The 18,616-nt window shown below is 43.2% G+C and overlaps 1 protein-coding gene across 18 annotated transcripts in view; it reads right to left on the bottom strand.

The window, feature by feature from the left end:
* Positions 1-18,616, bottom strand: part of TRPM8 (transient receptor potential cation channel subfamily M member 8) — a 102,150-nt gene that overhangs the window by 71,631 nt on the left and 11,903 nt on the right. For 4 of the 18 annotated variants that reach the window (NM_024080.5, XM_011511810.3, NM_001397608.1 and 1 more), the window contains exons 3-8: positions 17,151-17,224; positions 10,383-10,539; positions 8,717-8,894; positions 5,144-5,316; positions 1,862-2,036; positions 737-804 (exon numbers count right to left, since the gene is read on the bottom strand). In NM_024080.5, coding sequence (NP_076985.4) covers positions 737-804; positions 1,862-2,036; positions 5,144-5,316; positions 8,717-8,894; positions 10,383-10,539; positions 17,151-17,224 — 825 coding nt within the window. Of the gene's footprint in view, positions 1-736; positions 805-1,861; positions 2,037-4,902; positions 5,317-8,716; positions 8,895-10,382; positions 10,586-10,635; positions 10,812-11,609; positions 11,720-13,935; positions 14,863-15,152; positions 17,225-18,141; positions 18,210-18,616 lie in introns of those variants that run through there. The other 14 variants (NM_001397609.1, NM_001397613.1, NM_001397610.1 and 11 more) reach the window with 12 other exon arrangements.

The raw sequence follows: 18,616 nt of genomic DNA, 5'->3' as shown, positions 1-18,616 counted from the left end.
CTGTATGCAAAACCCCTGTGACATACAATTTACCTATACATAAAACCTACACATATACCCCTGACCCTAAAAGTTAAAAACAAATAAATAAATAAAAGGTTTTGATTCAAGTGGATTATCAAACAAAAACAAAAAAACGTCAAACAGAAGCCTGACTGCAGGCAAGATGAACTCAGTAATGAGTCCATACAGATTGGCTGGGAAGTCAAATTCTTGCTCAGTTGCTCAGTGTTGCAGGTGCAGAACCATTCAAGAAGTTTCCATGATCTCAGAATCACTTAGGGTTTGGAATTCCATCATGCAACATACCTGCATCCCCAGGTGGCATATAAATGGGCCTTAGGTGGTCTGGAAACATCTGGTTTGGGGGCAATCTGTGTGTGTATGATCACAGCTCATCTCAATGCAGATAGGTTGGCCATAGCTTTCTAATATATATGCCGGTTACAATCTTTAAGTCTCCCGAATTAATGTCAACTCTTCTCTTTGGCAGGTTGACTGTCAAGGCCAACACTAAGTACACAGGTTATTCATGTCACTGAAATTCTCCTCCCAAATCTTCTTGACTGAGGAATAACCGGAGTCTGTTAGGGGAACAGTATGTGGAGGGAAAACACTACCTACTTGCTGCAGTAAAATCAATTAGGTTAGATTAGATGAGCCCAAATCCTTGAAAATACAAATTTGTTGGATAGGCTTATTAGCCAACCTTCTAGAAAACTAAATCAGGACTCACTTTCAAAGTCTCTTTTCCACCTCCTTGGGCAAAACACACAATGGGGATCTTGCCACCATAGTTGGAATCTGTAAAATATAAAAAGTAAAGCATATTTTGAGCTCATTAGAAATACTCACCTACCTCTGTGAAAAGTTGGACCAAGAGCTTCTGCCCTGTGAGCCTAGGGTGTGGAGAGATAGCTTCACATCTCACGGACTTGAACATTATCCACTCATTAAAGACGGATGAGTCTTTTTGCTCCACACTAGTAATAGCATGACATGGGTCATGTTGCAATTTGTCATTGATATTTAAAATACATATTTGAATACTGAAAGCCTGTGCATGATTTACCATTGCACCTATAAATTAAACTAGGTTTAAGTTTATCCTTATAATAATGATGCTTTCCTATAATCCTATGCTTGCTTGAGTGAGAACTTTGCATAACTAGTGGTCTTTCAACAGTTTATTGCATATATAGTTTCTTCTTTCATGTATGTCCAATTGTGAAAGGAAAATAATTGACAACATTTCCAACAAGTTCCTGTCATTATGTCTATCATTAAATCACAAGGTAATCTTGTTCCACAGCAGGACACATCTCAATACCCTGTCCACAGGAAGAGAGAGAGTACATGTCACTCAACCACGGCAAATAATGGCTTTCACTCAACTGTTGCATTCTTCTCTTGAGACCACTGTTTTCTGTTACTCAGAAGTAGCCAAGATTCAAAAAAGTAAACCATACCATTGTTAAACTAGCAGGTTGGTTTTTATCTTTTCTATCCTAGCTAATTGCGTTGTTTCATAAACTCATATTTGTCATTGTAGATCGTATTTGTTCTTAAATGGTATCTACCAGAAGAAGACAGCCAGCTTTTGATACTAACAAACCACAATGGAAGATGGCCGTATTTATCATTGCCTTTAGCATGTTAAAGGGTACATACCACATTGACCCTGGCAGAAGCATTCCTGATGTGTTGGAAAAATTAAGAGAAATAACAGTTCTTTGGCAATAAAAATACCTGATCAGGTGTGTTTCTCACGCATCACTCAATAGTTGGTAGTGATTGTTGTTGATGCTGTGGCTGCTGTGGTTATTGTACACTTCTAGTGTCCTACCTCCTAACCACTGACCTTGAATAGTGCGCTCAGAGATATACTTCTCTAGCTGATTCCGGAGCTTTGCTTCGACAGTGGGATGTCCATGACAGCCATTGTCCACGAGCAGCAAATGTGTGTGGTTGTTGTCCAGGATATACAGTGGATCTCTTGTGAAGTCATCCATAAGGTACTGGGCTAAAAAATAGCCCTGAAAAGTACAGGGAAACTTGTCTTTGAGATTGTATTATCAGTCAAGATACATGATGATATTTTTCTATATTCATATGAAAGCTAATACTTTGGGTTCAATCACATTATGCCTCCTCCCAGATTCCTAAATCCAGAGGGGTCTTAGCGATCTTATAGTACAGACTTCCTTTTAAATATGAGGAAATGGAAGTTCAAAATGGTTGTGCCATGTGCTCATTTTCTCATAAATGGCCAGTGACAGTGTAAGGATCAGATTCCCAGTCCCATTCTTGGTTCATTGCCCTGTGCTCTTTTGCATAAATTCAACGAAATTCAAATTCAGCATTCAGGAAACCATGTATGTGCAAATGTGTGTGTGTGTGTATTTGTGTGTGTCTGGATACAGGTAGAAGCAGACATTGAAATGCACACATACATAGCTGTCTGGAATCTATCATATGCCGTGACCCATGCCAGGATCTAGGGATTAGAAAATGAATGAAACAGTCTTTGCACTTGAGAAGCGCATAGCAACAGGACCACAAAAAGAAGTAATTAAATGGATACTTTGTTCCCAAAATACCAGAGAATAAAAAACTGCTTCAGGAACATAAAGAAAGGAATCCTTACCAAAAAGGTTCCTCACTCTCAAGCTCCATTCAAAGGCATTTAGGTTTTAAAGTATCAGCGTTGCATTAAAAGGTGTTTCAATCTTAACTCCAAACATAGAATTTAATAAGTTTGAACAATAATATCACCACCAAAATTCAAGGAGAACAGAAGGAAAAAATAGCATTCAGAAAGAATTCAGAGTTTTGCTGGTGATACTATTTTTTAAATTTATTAATCTGAATACTATAGTGGTTAAAAGATTGTGCACCATGAACCTGCCACTAACTAGATATGTGCATTAAGAAAGTTTCTTACTTTCTGTATGCCTCACTTTTCTCGTTTATAATGAGGGGGGAATAGTAGTACTTACCTCATAGTTTTGTTATGAACATCAAATGAGTTAATATATGTAATACACTTAGAATAGAACCTAGTACATAGTAAGTGCTATTATATAAATGTTAGGTTTTGTTATTATGATTAAAGAATTATTTATTACTTTTATTTTTACTAATAAAGGTATATGGCTATGCATTTCACTTTGAGTGCAGCTTTGGCCATACTGACATATTGACATATATTCTTAATATGTAATGTTTTTATTTGCATTGCTTTCTAAGTTATCTATGATTATATTTTTGAAAGATCATTCTAGATCCAACATTTGTTTAGCAGATGGTTGGGTGGTTGGTTGTTTCTTAATTTCCAAATGATTGGCACATTCTTTAATCTTTACATATTCATTTCAAGTTTTACTTGTTGCCAGGAAATGGGCTCTGTAAACAGCCTCTAGGGAGACTTTGAAGTCTTTTCTCATTCCCATTCAGAGGTAAAAATACCCACATTTTCAAGGTTTTTTGTGAGTCTGTGAATTAACATATGCACTGCATCTACCGTGGGGATAATTATACAACACTACATTGACTCCTATGCCCATTACAAATATTGCTAATAGATAATGGTATTCTTTCCCATTTAGCCTGCCATTGTCCTCAAAAGCCTGCTCTAGGCCACTCTCATCCCTGAAGTTGGCATTTGATGTGAAATCATTTTGCCATCTCCTGTTGGGCATCTAGTAATAATAATAGAAGCTACCATTCACTCTGCACAATTAGATAAATCAGTCCCATAACAATACAGGTTATTATTATAAAAGCTTGAAGAAGGGAACTGGCTCCAGACTATGCAGCTAGAAAAGGAATGGTTACTCCAACCCCAACTTCTCTGTCTTCAAAACGCCTCCTCCTCCCCCTCTACCATGCTTCCTCCTTGAAGATGCACAAAAAAAAACACCTCCCACTCTCCCCTGCCCCTTATATATCTCAAAAATGGTAACCAAGACACAAAAATAAAATAATTCTAAAAGAAGAATCACAGCAATTCCAAAAATCCTTAACATTTGCCGCTTCTAAGGAGCCCAGATGGGAGAAGGTGTAGCTTAAATGTGGATTTCTGAACATTTGGTCCAATGCTTCTGGGCAGAGAACACCTGTTGCTCAAGAAGTTCCTCAACTACTAGAAATGTTGTTTTCAAAATTCTACACTTGATACAAAACCCCATATGTCTACCTTGTATTTTTAGCATGAAATGCTCATTACTCTCTAAAAATGTTCACAGGAAACATTTGCAGGGGGCGGGGGGTGGTTGTCTCACAGCCTTCTTAATGCCCATTTAACCAAGGACAATATCCATTGATTTGAATTTCTGTGAGTGTAGCCAAGCAATCAAGATATTGCAGTTCTCATTGTTCAATTCCCACCTATGAGTGAGAACATGCAGTGTTTGGTTTTTTGTCCTTGCAATAGTTTGCTGAGAATGATGGTTTCCAGCTTCATCCATGTCCCTACAAAGGACATGAACTCATCATTTTTTGTGGCTGCATAGTATTCCATGGTGTATATGTGCCACATTTTCTTAATCCAGCCTATCACTGTTGGACATTTGGGTTGGTTCCCAGGAAGGGGAACATCACACACCAGGGTCTGTTGGGGAGTGGGGGGAGTGGGGAGGGATAGCATTAGGAGATATACCTAATGTTAAATGATGAGTTAATGGGTGCAGCACACCAACATGGCACATGTATACATATGCAACAAACCTGCACGTTATGCACAAGTACCCTAAAACTTAAAGTATAATAATAAAAAAAAAAACATAGCCATCCTAGTGGGTGTAAAAAAAAAAAAAAAAAAAAGATACTGCAGTTGGCTTTGAGCCCGCCTGAGATGGATGTAAGCCATAGTTATGAAGAATAAAGAACCTGACTGTGATATGAGATTGCTGAGAACACATTTTAATGAACAAAACATTCATTGTTAACTCTTTCCCAGCAGTTAATTAGGTACGTCATCCTTGTTTTCAATTCCTTTAAGGTCCCAAAGGCACTCCTTGAAAGGCAGACTTCCCCATGATCTGGCTGGCTCCATCACAGAGCCCCAGGGTTCAGGCCACAGGCCCATGCCATGGTCTTTCTTCCATGTGACCTAGCAGACCTCCTCCTGTCCCACCGGTACCTCAGCATCGCAATTCCTGATGAGGGTGTCCCGGTTGGAGACCATGCCCCAAGCTGCTATGCCAATGGCCACAATATTCTCCTCTGAACTCCTGCTGATGGTGTTATCTCTCACCACCTCCCCGATGTACTTCATCAGGCCATAATGGGTGCCTCCCGTGAGAATCCAAGCACCTGTCAACAAATAGGAAGAGTAAATGGTCAAGTGGCACTGGGCAAAGTTTCCATTCTGGGCTCACAGACCCCTAAAATAAAGGCCCCATCCCTGTAGGCATCAGGACACAGCACTGGCAGCTATGTCGTATGGCAAGGAAGGAGAGGGGACCTCAGACAGTTCTCCTGAGAGGTGTTCACTTAAAAATACAGATCCTTGGCCAGGCGCAGTGGCTCTTGCCTATAATCCCAGCACTTTGGGAGGCCAAGGCGAGTGGATCACGAGGTCAGGAGTTCATGACCAGCCTGGCCAAGATGGTGAAACCCCATCTCTACTAAAAATACAAAAATTAGCCAGGCGTGGTGATGGCCGCCTGTAATCCCAGCTACTTGGGAGGCTGAGGCAGGAGAATTTCTTGAACCCGGGAGGCAGAGGTTGCAGTGAGCCGAGATCATGCCACTGCACTCCAGCCTGGGCAACAGAGTGAGACTCCATCTCAAAAAGAAAAAAAAAAAAAAAAAAAAGATTCTTGACCCTATTCCAGATCTGCCTCATCAGGCTCTCTGGGAGGTGGGTCGAGGGAATCTGTCTGTATCTTTAACCAGCCTCTAGAGGACTCTTATGGACAATGAATGTCTAACCAGAGCCTCTAAGCAAGTTAGGCAATGCCACCATGGTAAGTCGGGCACTCTGCTCCTGGACCCCCATATTGGTTGGATTCAAGTGAATCTTCCTTGGATGGCTTTTGTGTCAATAACTTTGCTTTATAAAACACAATTTTGTACACTGGCCTTTTTAGGGTTTAGATCTGATTATCTTCTCAATGCTAAGGGTTATACAGGGTTTTATTGCGGCGGGGGGCAGCAAAGTACAACAAATACAATACCTAAAAAATATTTTTTAGCATAAAACTGAATCTAAAGTTGGAAATGACCCTAGTGTAATATGTTGCCCATGTAGGAATCTACCCTCAGAGAGGTCACTGGCCTCTTTGGATTAGCTCTTGTAAGAGAAGCGTCAGGAGCTGAGAGGCAGCCCCCTCCTCCAATCGTTAGAAAGCCCCTTTGCTGACTATCTCCATTCTCTAATTTTACTACGGCCTCAGAAATGAGGAACAATTTTAGTCATCACCATATCAAAGTCATTCTAATATTTTCAGGTAAGTACGATGTGATCCTTAGAAGTTTTACACCTGCTTCTTTTAACCAGCTCTCACGGGGCATAAATCCAGCCTCTCAGCACCCAGTCTCCTTCCTCTAGACAGATTTTGAAACTGAGAGCTAACCTAATTAAGCCTGCCAAACTTCACCTGCCTTGCTTGCTTTTAATTGCTTCCTTCTAGTTGATTTTAAAATCCGTATAGCTAAAAGTCATGTAGCCAAACAATATATAACTAAATCACCACTAGTTTCCTTATAGATAACATCTCTGACATATACGTCACTATGATAATAGTTGCTTAAAGTTGTTTTTCAGGAACTAGGGAGCTGCTCTGATCCAGTTCAAAACAGCTGAGACCATTGACTCTTCAACAGGGCGTGCACAAATGCCCAAGAGATGACCTTTCGAGGTCAGAGGGCCAAAACTCCTCCCTCAGATCATGCTAACACCTGCCATTTTCTGGACAGGTGTCCTATGACGAGCCATGAACCCTGACTACACCTGCAAAAACCACCAATTACCTCATTCCTTCTCCACTTCCTATCACCTTTCCCCACGCCATAGAACACCTGCCTCTTTACTCCTTAAATATCCCTAATCCTTATCTTTAAGGAAGCAGATTTGACAACCATTCTCCCATCTTCTCACTGGGCAACCCTGTGAATAAATCTTTTCTCTTTTGCAAAACCCATGCTTGCAGTGATTGACTTACTGCATGCACGTACAGCGGGTATGGCTTCATATCTACTTCAGCCATTAACGTTCCCTTTTAAAATGAGACAATGGGAAGTGAAGGTAGCACTCCAAGTGGACAACTAGCAACAATGAAACTATTCAACTTCCTCAATCACTTCACTTCATCTGCATAGAAAGAGGCGCCCCAGCCCAGGGACTTTTTGTCCGTTTTGTTCTGCTGTATTCATAGCACATAAAACAATTTCTGGTACATAATAGGCATCCAATAAGTGTATGTTTAATGAACGAATAAGGTGTATTCAGGATTTAGTAGCAAGGAAGCTGAGTTGCTCAATTTTGTAACAAAGTGACAACCCACAGTGTTCCCTCTGGTTGGTAAGGAAACTGAGAAAAATAAATGGGAAAAACAAAACAAAACATCTCAGTTTCTTCTTGATATTAAAAAAAAAAAAAACCCATGTCTAGATTACGACACGTTTCCTTAGTTCTACCGGTCAATATTAATTCTGCGTAAAAGAAGTTTTTTAAATGTTAAGGTTAGACAAACTGAATCTAATCACGAGAAAACATCAACCAAATCCACAATGAGAGACAGTCTACTAAGCAATTGGCCTACACTTTTCAAAAAACGTAATGAAAGACAAGGAAAGGCTAAGAACCAGTTCCAAATGTAAGGAAAAAAAAAAAAAACAAAGCTAAATCGATTTGGAATACAAACTGAGAAAAAAGAATGTTTACTCTAAAGGACCTTGTTGAGATAATTAGCAAAATTCGAGTATGAACCGTTAGATAGCAGTACTGGTCCATGGTAACTGTTCGGGTTTGAAAATTGTACTGGGTTATGTGAGAAAACCCCCTCTCACAGGAGGGGCATGCTCATGTGCTTAGGGGGTTAAGGATCATGATTCCTGCAACCTGCTTTCAACGGTTCCCCCCAAAGTCATACGTAGATATTTATGGAACAAGTTGAGACAAACGTGGGGAAATGTTAACAATTGGTGAATCTAGGTGAAGAATGTACAGATGTTCATTGCATTATTCTTGCAACATTTTGTAGATTCAAAATTTTTTAAAATATAAAGTTGAAAAGAAAATGCTAAGTGTTTCAAGTAACAAAGGCTTAGTTGCTTTGACCTCAATCAGACACTTCTGTGGTGCTCACAATTTCTCAGGCACTGTCACTACTTTCAAAAGTGCATCACCGATCTCACAATTACAGAACAAGCGAATTACAACTGTCCTTTCCAATTCCCCTGAACCGAAATTCTGGGTAAAACTTTACGTGTGTTAATAACAAAATGAAAATCTTACAAGATTAAAAAAAATTCCCCTAAGGAAGCACCTTAACGCTGATTTAGAGTTACTGTGTGAAGCTCCCCCGCTATCTGCCAGAGCTCCGTGTCCATTCATTTGAGGATATGGCTTTCAATAAGATAACGATTAATCAGATGCTTCTAGCAGCACCCGGATTCTCCGGAATTGCACACGGGAACTGCCTTCTCTGCTCCCCAAACTTGGTGCAGCCCGAATGGAAGAACCCGCGGTCGCTGCTCCCACCCTCACCTTTGGACTGCGCGATGTAGATGAGCCGGCTGAAGATCTTGCGCATGCGCGGCTTCAGGGCGAAGTTCTTGGCGCCCCCGGTCACAGAAATGACCAGGTTGGGTGTTTTCAGGTGCCAGTGCTGGGTCAGCAGCTCGTAAAGGATTTCCGCGTCCGTGTCGCAGGACAGACGTATATACTATGGGGAGAGAAGCAGAAGTATCAGGATAGGCCTGTGTTCTCCTGAGGTCGGGGTTTAGCATTCCCTCCCAACTTCCAAGCCCACGCTTGCCTGCTTCTAGAAGAGGGGCGGGGTGGGGGCAGCAGGGATCGCGGCATTGGGGGTCCCAGGCGGGCGCCGTGCCAAGGCCCCATGAGGAAGTGGAAGTGTGAAAGGAAAATAAATCTTGGGGCCCGAAAATTCAAGCTAGGAACTGCTTAGGGCAAACCTGCCTCCCACCGTATTCAAAGTCACCCCTCTGCTCACCGAGATAAATGCACATCTGATTGCCTCCTTTGGAAAGGCTAATCAGAAACTCAAAAGAATGCTACTATTTGTCTCTTATCTACTTATGACCTGGAAGCCCCCTCTCGTTTCGAGTTGTCCCGCCTTTGCTTCGTGAGTTGTCCCACCTTTCCAGAAGGAACCAGCGTTCATCTTACATATGTTGATTAATGTCTCATGTCTCCCTAAAATGTATGAAACCAAACCGTGCTCTGACCATCTTGGGCACACGTTGTCAGAACCTCTTAAGGCTGTGCCACGGGCATCCCTCCTCAACCTTGGCAAGATAAACTTTCTAAATTAACTGAGACCTGTCTCAGATATTCAGGGTTCACAGAAGGAAAGCAGACTGGGGGGAGTGGGGGTGCTGCACGGGCCCTGAAAAGCCCCACAGGCGAGGTGGAGAACCTGGGACTTTGTCCTGAAGGCAGAGGGGTGACTTGAGGCGTTTGAAGCCGGGTAGGAACAGGGTGGGCTTTACATTTAGGGAGTCCTCCAGCGGCCATGCTGAGGCCACAGGGAGGTGGGCAGAGCTGCGGGCAGCAAGAGAGTGTGCCGGCCCATTCCAGGGCAGAGGCCCTGGGGGAGTCAGCAGTGGATGGGGCTGGGTCACCTCCCAGGGATGCCATGGGCTGGGTCACCTACCAGGAATGCCATGGGGGTTTGGGAGATGAGAGGCCCAGGCCCTGCAGGAACAGCCTGTGGACGGTGCTCTCATTGAGACTGGGAGCACGGAGGATGTAGGAAAGGCTATTTCTGATCATTAAACACCTTTGTGAAACCTTGCTGGAGAGCTTGCACAGTGAGTATGAAGGGAATGCATATTCAGGGCCATATGTACCTCAGGAGTACGCAGAGCTAAGCAGTAGGGTTCACAAAAGCATTCATGGGGCCCTCAGTAGCAGTAGGGCTCAAGGTGGATGTGACGTGGATGCCTGCCTTGCGTGTGGACACAGGAGGCTAGGTGATAATCCAGTCCTTAACCTGTTGAGTTTTCCTGTTGAGCATAGCCTAATAACTGCTTTTTGGCTTTTACAAGATGTATCTTTTTCTGCAATCGTTTTTGGTGTTTACTACCCATCTCTCCTGCCTCCATCCTATTAGACAATTCCAAGTAAATCAAGGTAGCCCAGGTCACTTTGGCCTATGAATTAGCTGCCAAAGTAGAAAACCATTGCTTACCTTCCCTTTCTTCCCCAGTGTCTCAAACTGAATATCCCCAAAGGCGTCGGTAGGAAATTCCTTGGTGTGTTTCTTGTAGTTCCATTTCTCACTTTGGTTGATCTGGGTGCCTTCCATGTGCTGGCTCTGGGCATAGCCACACTTGCACACATTCTCCCTGATAAGCACGATGGTGTGGACAGGAAGGAAGGATTTCATTGAGCCTGCTTATGGAAACTGGTATTGTTAGCTTAAATAGACACACAAAGGATACCTTCAAGTCTTATTTTCAGACTGTTTTCATCATCTTGGTTGTGTAGAAACTAGTTTGATGTGGACGGGTGCGGTGGCTCACGCCTGTAATCTCAGCACTTTGGGAGAGTGAGGTGGGCGGATAACTTGAGGTCAGGATTTCAAGACCAGGCTAGGCAACATGGTGAAACCCCATCTCTGCTAAAATACAAAACTCAGCTGGGCATGTTGGCAGGCACCTGTAATCCCAGCTACTCTGGAGGCTGAGGCAAGAGAATGGCCTGAACCCAGGAGGTGGAGGTTGCAGTGAGCTGAGATCGCGCCACTGCACTCCAACCTGGGTGACAGAGCAAGACTCCCTCTCAAAAAAAAAAAAAAAAAAAAAAAGGAAAGAAAGAAAGAAACTAGTTTGATGTTTTATCCCTGGTGTTTATTGTCCCTTCATGAACAAGCTGGCTCTGTGCTGATAGGACAGAACAAAGCCCTGCTGTCATGGAATCGATCTTCTGTCCATGGGGCTGTTATGAGACTGAGTTTCAGAAATCTGGAAACTTTATTCAGCTTCTCAAACAGTTCATAACACACAGGAGCCCTGAGTTGGCCTCAGTGCCTCAGCACCAACCCTGCCAGTTTGCCCAGCCAGTAAGGCTATTCTGAAGTGAGGTGAGACATCCTTCCCATGGGCTGAACTCACTGGGAAGATGCATTCCCTTGGCAGAGACCCAAAATGTTCCAGACTCTGGAGAGATCATCCTTTCCTTATTGGACATTAGCTGCTAGAGAGACTTCCAATAATTTGGGGTAGATGAGGACAAACTGTGCGGTAAATGAACACGAGATCTTCTCGTTAAAAATGCAATGGAACTAAATTCATCCATTAGGTGACACAGAGGCATAACAGGAAATTGGAAGAGGATAAAAAGAAACGCAGTCAGTGGTAAATCCTCTTCCCTTGTGCCTTTGCCAACATACCACCTTCATTCAACAGATACTGACCGAAAATCCACTCTGAGTCAGCCCTGGGCTGAGCTTCACAGCAGCCCAAGATGAGCGGGATGTCCTTCCTGCCTTTAAGTTGGTCTCTTAGGAATAGCTAAGCATGACACCTGGCAAAGTGCAGAGAAACAAACAAAACACCTCCTTTTACTCTCGCACAGCCCCTCCCCTGTCAGGCTTGCCATGAGGGTTGGAAATGATGCACAGTGTTTCGCTGGGCCTGGAATGTGGCACCTGCTCCATCAAGGTGACTTAGGCTATTGTGGTGCCTTACATGCAAATCAATGATTAATGAGGGCAGTGACAACAGAAAAGAAGCAAAAATGCAGTTAAAAAAAATCTAAAAACACATTCTATGACTATTTGACCTCTCTATCCAGGGCATCCTGAGAGATGTGGTCTCCAAAGACAGGAACAACAACCACCAAGATTCCCATTTAGCCAAAAACAACTCCCACTCAGTGAGGCACTGTTCACCCTCCTCCCAGCTTCCTTCTGCCTGCCCCACCCACTTGGTTCTGCATCCCTCCCTGCTGTCTCTCTGACCAATCTTAGGGCAAGATCCAAGGGTGCTAGGAATTCAAGGGGGCCATGGCCAGTGGAGAAGGAGAACAGAGAGTTCTGTCCTGAGAAGGCTAGAGAATAGCAAAGTGGGAGACATGTTTGGTCACTGAAACAGGCCCTAAGGGCACAGCTCTCCTTTTATCAGTGGGTGACTCAATGTTCTGATTTGCCCAGAATAGTCTCAGTTTACACCTGTTGCCAAAGTCCTGGTAAGATCAGTGCCTCCATCACTCTTATCCGTGTTCTAGACCCCACAATAAAGTTTGTGGTCAGCCATTCACCACTAACCTACCAGAAAAGGCATCCCCCTCTGGCAGATGTGGGTCAGCACCAGGATGCAGGGTCAGATAACAAGATTCAGCCCCACTCACCCCAGCATCCTTGTGCAGTGCACAGCCCAGCAACCATACATGGTGACTCTGGAGCAAGGATCCCCTGCACAGGCTGAACCAAATAAAGATATACAAACTGAGGAAATCCTGTTAGCATTTGCTTCCAGCTGGACTCTTTATCTTATATTCTCTGTCCCCATGTTTCTGGCACATCAGGGCATTTAGCAAATGTCCTTTGAATGAATGAACAAATGAGCAAATAAATACATTGATTGGTCTTCTTTTAAATGGTTTGTATCCTCAATGATTTTTGTAAAGTAGATATGTTTTCCTTCCAGAATACAAGCTTAAGTATACATAGCTGTTCATGGCCAGAGAAAGGCTGTGTTTTCAAGATCTTCTTTACTGTTCACCTTATTTAACATATGGCAAAATGTAGGATTCATTCTAAAAGCACTCTGTGGCAGGAGGTCACATTTTCATTTACAAGATGGTAATAGTGATATGCATTTCTATGACTTTTCTAAAAACACAATAGGAGCAGAAATGAGTTGCTTTATGGGCAAATTTTATGACCAGTCCAGAAGCAGATGGATTCCCAGCCAAACTGTGGCCAAGTTTCTGCTGCCTGAAAGCAATTGGCTTCAACTGGAGTTGCTCTGCTGATAGTGATCTTCTTGAAGTGCTGGAAGCCCAGGGTAACTACCAAAGCCACTCAACAAGGAAATTCTATAATGAGGAACAAATGCTTCTCAGCAGCAATCCTCATGAGCAGCTTGCTCTCCTGGGGGTTGGGGATGCTGCTGGAGATACATGGAGGCAGGTCCCTGCTAGAGATGGTGCATTGACGTGGACTGCAGTGAGACTGTCTCTTCTCTCCAACCTCATCTACACAGTAGGATCAAGATGAGCCTGTTCATATAACTGAATTGTGGAAATGTTCATAATTGACAGGCTCAAGGATGGGAAGTTAATCCAGGATTGACATAGGCATCCCTTTCTTAAGAATTTGAAATTAGGACCAAAAGAGCTGCTCCCGTCTCTCTGTAGGTCTAGGCCTGTGACATGGAAGATCAGGCACCACAGCACAATCATAGCTACTCTGAGAAAGAAGAGAACAGGTGTGCAGGGAGAGGTGGAGGCAGGAACGGGCAGAGGGGACCTGCTGAGTACCCCCTCATCAGTCACCGTTTCTAACCACTCCAGAGGCCTGGCCACTCCCTGATCTTAGGTGGCATTTCTTTTTCCTTATAGTAAATCCCCTCTTTAAGTTTAGGTAGTTGAGCTCCTTGTAACCAAAAGTCTTAATTACCACACAGTATGGAAATGATTCCTATTCCAAATATTTCTCAAGGCATTTAATATTTTCTAAAGCTATAACGATTGAGCTAGAGACTGGATCCAAAATCACCCTCCAGCAGCAAACTCACCTCTGTTTTGGAACAGTTCCCAGGGCATCACTCAGTGTGGCCAAGATATGTCAACCAGAATTCAGCACAATGTTCTTAGCCCTCTCTCTTCCTAAGTGTTAGGGCACTTCCTGAGCCCAGGCTACTTCCTGATGTTCCTCTTCTCTCTCCATAGCTTCCACTGTCCCACCATCCTTTGGGATCTGTCCACCCACCCAAGCTTATTGGAGGATGGGGGAGAGAATTCCCCGCCCCATCTGTTCTTGCTATAACTGAAAACAAACTGTTGGGCCCTTTTCCCTGCTAAGGGTAGGGGTGTGTCACAGGTGACCTTGACCAAGAGAGCTGCCTGGCAGCTCTGGTCTATGGGCTGGTAGCCCTCTAAGCACCAATTTGTATGAACTGGTTTATAAATGGAGAAAAGAAATTGCCAGGAAGACATTAGGAGTGCAGATACCTGAAGGAGGAATAAGGATGACAGACAGGAGAAATGAAGAGGACAGGAAAACATCAGGACCCTAGTTCTACCCCCTTGGACCAAATCTGAATCCTGTAGAACTACACCGTCCAATATGGTAGCCACTGACCTCACGTGGTTATTTAATTTTATATTTAAGTTAAGTGAAATTAAATAAATTAAAAACATTCCTTCGTTGTCCTAGCCACATTTCAAATGATCAATAGCCAGATGTGGCTAGTGGCTACCGTATTGGATGGTGCGGACATAGAATATTTCCACCAGGGAAGAAAGTTCTGTTGCACAGTGCTGCTGTTGTGAAGGTAGCATTCTTTCTGTTTCTACCTGGAACCCAGCATGGCCAAGGAAGTGAGAAGTGACTAGAGCAAAACCAGACCTAGGAGCTTACTACCCATAGTGTGCCAGAAGGTGGCTCCTAAGCTGGCAGCACATTTCAGAGGACACAGCAGCAGGGGCAAAAGTGCGGCACCATCTTGCAGTAGCGTCCACAAGAAGTTAGAGTAGAGAGGCAAGGGTGGGTTGGGCTTAGCACTAGGGTGGCAACCCTGAGAACTCTCAGGGGAGACTTTGGCAGCTTAGGTCATCTAGTGTGGCAAGTAACAGCAAAACCAGGGTATCAATAAAATTAATCATCACTTCATTTGATGCCCTTGTCTGATGGGTAACTTAGATTACATGGAGTGATCCCACTACCTGTGGAGAGAGAGAAATAATAAACATGGGGGATTCAAAGATTATAGAATCCTGCATCCTTGCATACCTTCTGAGATGGGAACTGGAAGACCCTGAGGTGTTCCTGTGCTCCGCTTGTGTTGCTGAGGGCTGCGGCTGCCCACCACATCTCCCTTCATTTTGACCCAGACTTGAGCTGTAATCAAGCACTGTAAGGTGAACAGCCACAGGTTTCCCTAACCTGCATCTACTTCCCCTTCCACTAGTAAGTGCGCCCTGATTTTCCTTGAGGAATCATGCCTTTCTGCATTGAGTTCACCTGGACACATCTCCCAAGCCTTGCCAATCAACATATTCCACTGTCCCTCAACTTCCATCCTCCAGCCCCAGGGATTAGTTTAGAGATAGGCACATGCTCCAAGCAAGACCATTAAGAGCCATAAACATCAGCCCAGGACTTTTGATGGAATTGCTAGGAGCAAGGCCCTCTTTGCTCTAACTGGCAAATGGAAAGCTGATAACGCACAACCAACAATGACCATTTTGCCTCCAATAGTGAAGAGCCCATCCATCAGAGAAGGGCAGGAACAACAGGTGGAAAGAGACAGAGTCTCGGCGACGTTGTTGAAGCCCTGGATCTGGCTGTGCTTTTCAGCCACAAGATCCCATTATCACACCCCACAGAATCCCTGCTCCAGCTTCCACTTATGCCAGTTAGATTGAACATATGTAACTGAGAACGTGTTGAGGAATTTGTTCTGCCCAAAGCAACGCCATTCTTAGAAAGGGAGGCAACTGACGGTATAGAGAAGGCACAGCCTTGGAATCAGAAAGCCCGGGCTCAAGTCTCTCATCCATCTTCCACTGCACATGTGACCATGGGTAAAATACTGAACTTCTCTGGGCCTCACTTGCCTTAAAGGTAGCAACAGCTTCCTTGCAAGGAGGTTGATAATATTAGCAATCCAGTATGTAAGTCCCATTCATGAAACATACAGGGGATAAATAGTGGTCTTACAAAGCTTACACTTTGTCAGAATGACTCATGATGCGTATGTTTTTACCAGTGACAAGGCAGAGATCTCTTAGTTTTTCTGGTGTTCATTTTCTAATTCACATGAAGTAAGAATTATGCTCTGAAGCATTATGGTAGGTATTTTATATGCTGCGTCTTGAATACCACAACCCATGAGGTATACTTTTGCTAGATTTTTAGGATAAGAGAATTAGCTTTAGAAAAGAGAATAATTGGCTCAAGGCCACACAGTGAGGAGTCAGCCAAGTCAAGGTTGAAACCAAAGCTGGTTCTAAAGCTTTTTTCCTTATTTCTATATCCTTCCTCTGTTCATTGACCCTGTTCAACAGAGAGTCTTTTCATTATAAACTACAGCAGCAACTTGCAATTAATAGCTAGACTCTTTCTTGCATTGCCAGCCAACAGAAAGGAAGGGGCAGAGAGGAATAAGGAGAGTGGGAGGTAGGACGAAAATTGTTTAATTAGATTCAAATGCATCTTCTACACAAAGGGTGAGCACTAGTCGACCCATTCACTCACTCACTTGCTCATCAACAGTTATTGAAGAACTCCTGTAGGCTGAGCTGGTGAAGCCTGCTTTTGTAACCCAGCCTTAATGTTCCAAAACACATGAGACTTAGAGCAGATGAACACTCAATTAGAAGGAAAGACCTAAAGTCAACAGCAGGGAAGAAAAGCCTGACGGAGGAGCCAGTAAGATGGACATATGTACACATGCATGGTATTGCCAGCCAACAGCTGTAAAACAACTTTCATTACCAAGGTCACTCAGGTGGGTTCCCAATCTCATGGGAATACTGAAGAGAGTGACAGCCTCCCTCAACGACTTTTCCAACTATGGCCAAAGCTGAAAATACCAAACAAAATTGTATAGCTCTGAGTAACAACTATAAGCTCCTTGCCAGATCCTTCCTGCGCAAACAGTGTTTCTGAGAATTATAAGACGAAGACATCTTTAATAATGAACTAGGGAGCATTTGTTTGTTGTAAGGGTGGCTGATAATTTTTTTGAACTTGGAAAGCAAAACTGGAGGGAAAATAGTAGCTTACGTGGCCTTGGAATCTTTGGTAAAGAAGACACATTCTCGTTTCTTAAAATTTGCTTGAATAAAATTCACCAAGTCCTTTGGAGAGAGAACATTGAATAACACATTACTAATTTATTCTCACCCCTTGCTGATATTGATGAATACTAAATATGATGTAACCCCACTTCAAAGGCTTTAAGAATTTACCACATATTCATAGCATCCAGCATTTGTTCATGCCTTTAGAGTATACAAAATTTTTTTTAAAGATGCAAACTTTAAAATTTTTATAACTAAATGGAAAATTTTTCTAGAAGTGATTTGGACTTATCTTATTTATAAACAGTATTATATACATACAAATTATGTTTTTCCACCTCTAAGGCTACCAGGGAGAATATAGGCATTGGATGATAGTTTTTCATAAATAATATATCAATGCAGATTCCCATTCCTCTTATCCTTGCTGTTTAAAAGAAGACATATTCCAAAAACCGTTCATAAATGTATTTATCCCTCCATGGGAGAGGTAGTTAGGCACATCTGGGACCTAATTCTGACAAAAAACCAAAAGCCTTTATAAACCAAAAGCTTCCCTTAAGTTAGCAGAAGCAAACTATTTGGAAACAAAGGAAAAACTCCTTTAAAAATACCTACACTCCTCAAAGTGGAAGAAGGTATTTGCATCATGTATGAAACATCATAAGATTGATAGCCAGAATATATAAGCACTGTACATCAGTAAGAATGAGACAGACAATCCGATGGGAAAAAAATGGCCAAAGACAAGAGTAAGCATTCATTGAAAGAGAATAACCCATAAACATATGAAAGGAAGCTCAACCTCATTCAGAATGAGCAAATGCAAAGGAAAACCACAGTGAGATCCCATTTCACACCCACCAGGTTAGTAAAAATATCAAAGGCAATAAACACCCAGCATAGTCGAAGGGGAGAGCAGTAAACAGATACAACCGTTCCTGAATATTGTCCACTATTGCCAGTAAAGTTACCTCCCTGAGGAAGAGTCTCTGGTGGAGAAAGGCAGAATTGCCCCATGAATGACTTGCACACCCAGAATGCCTGGCAAAGCTGCCTGGCGATAAATATTCAGCCTCAGAGGGCTGCCTTTCCCTGGGGAGGTGGGGCTGCTAGGAACTTCCTCTCCCCAGCAATCCAGTGCCACTTCCCACAGGTCACCAGATACTGGCAGCTGGAGTTCTCAGACAACTTTACACACAGTTGGCCTCATAAGACAGGCCACTGGCACCAGAGCCAGCCCTGACTTCTTATGCCCTGCAGCAAGGCTACCACCAGCCATGCACTGCAAAGGGGGATGTCCCTTCTCCTGGAATGAAGTTCACAATGTGCCCCCTTCCCTTCTCACCTTCTGCCCCTGCAAGTCCTGTGGTATCAGAGAAGGGTGACCACGTGCCTTATCTTCCCAATCCTTTGAACATAAGTTTCCCCATAGGTCGTATGTCTTAA

The sequence above is a fragment of the Homo sapiens genome, chromosome 2 (assembly GCF_000001405.40).
Source record: "Homo sapiens chromosome 2, GRCh38.p14 Primary Assembly".
In the NCBI taxonomy this organism is placed as follows: domain Eukaryota; kingdom Metazoa; phylum Chordata; class Mammalia; order Primates; family Hominidae; genus Homo; species Homo sapiens.
This window is presented reverse-complemented; position numbering and strand designations above follow the sequence as displayed.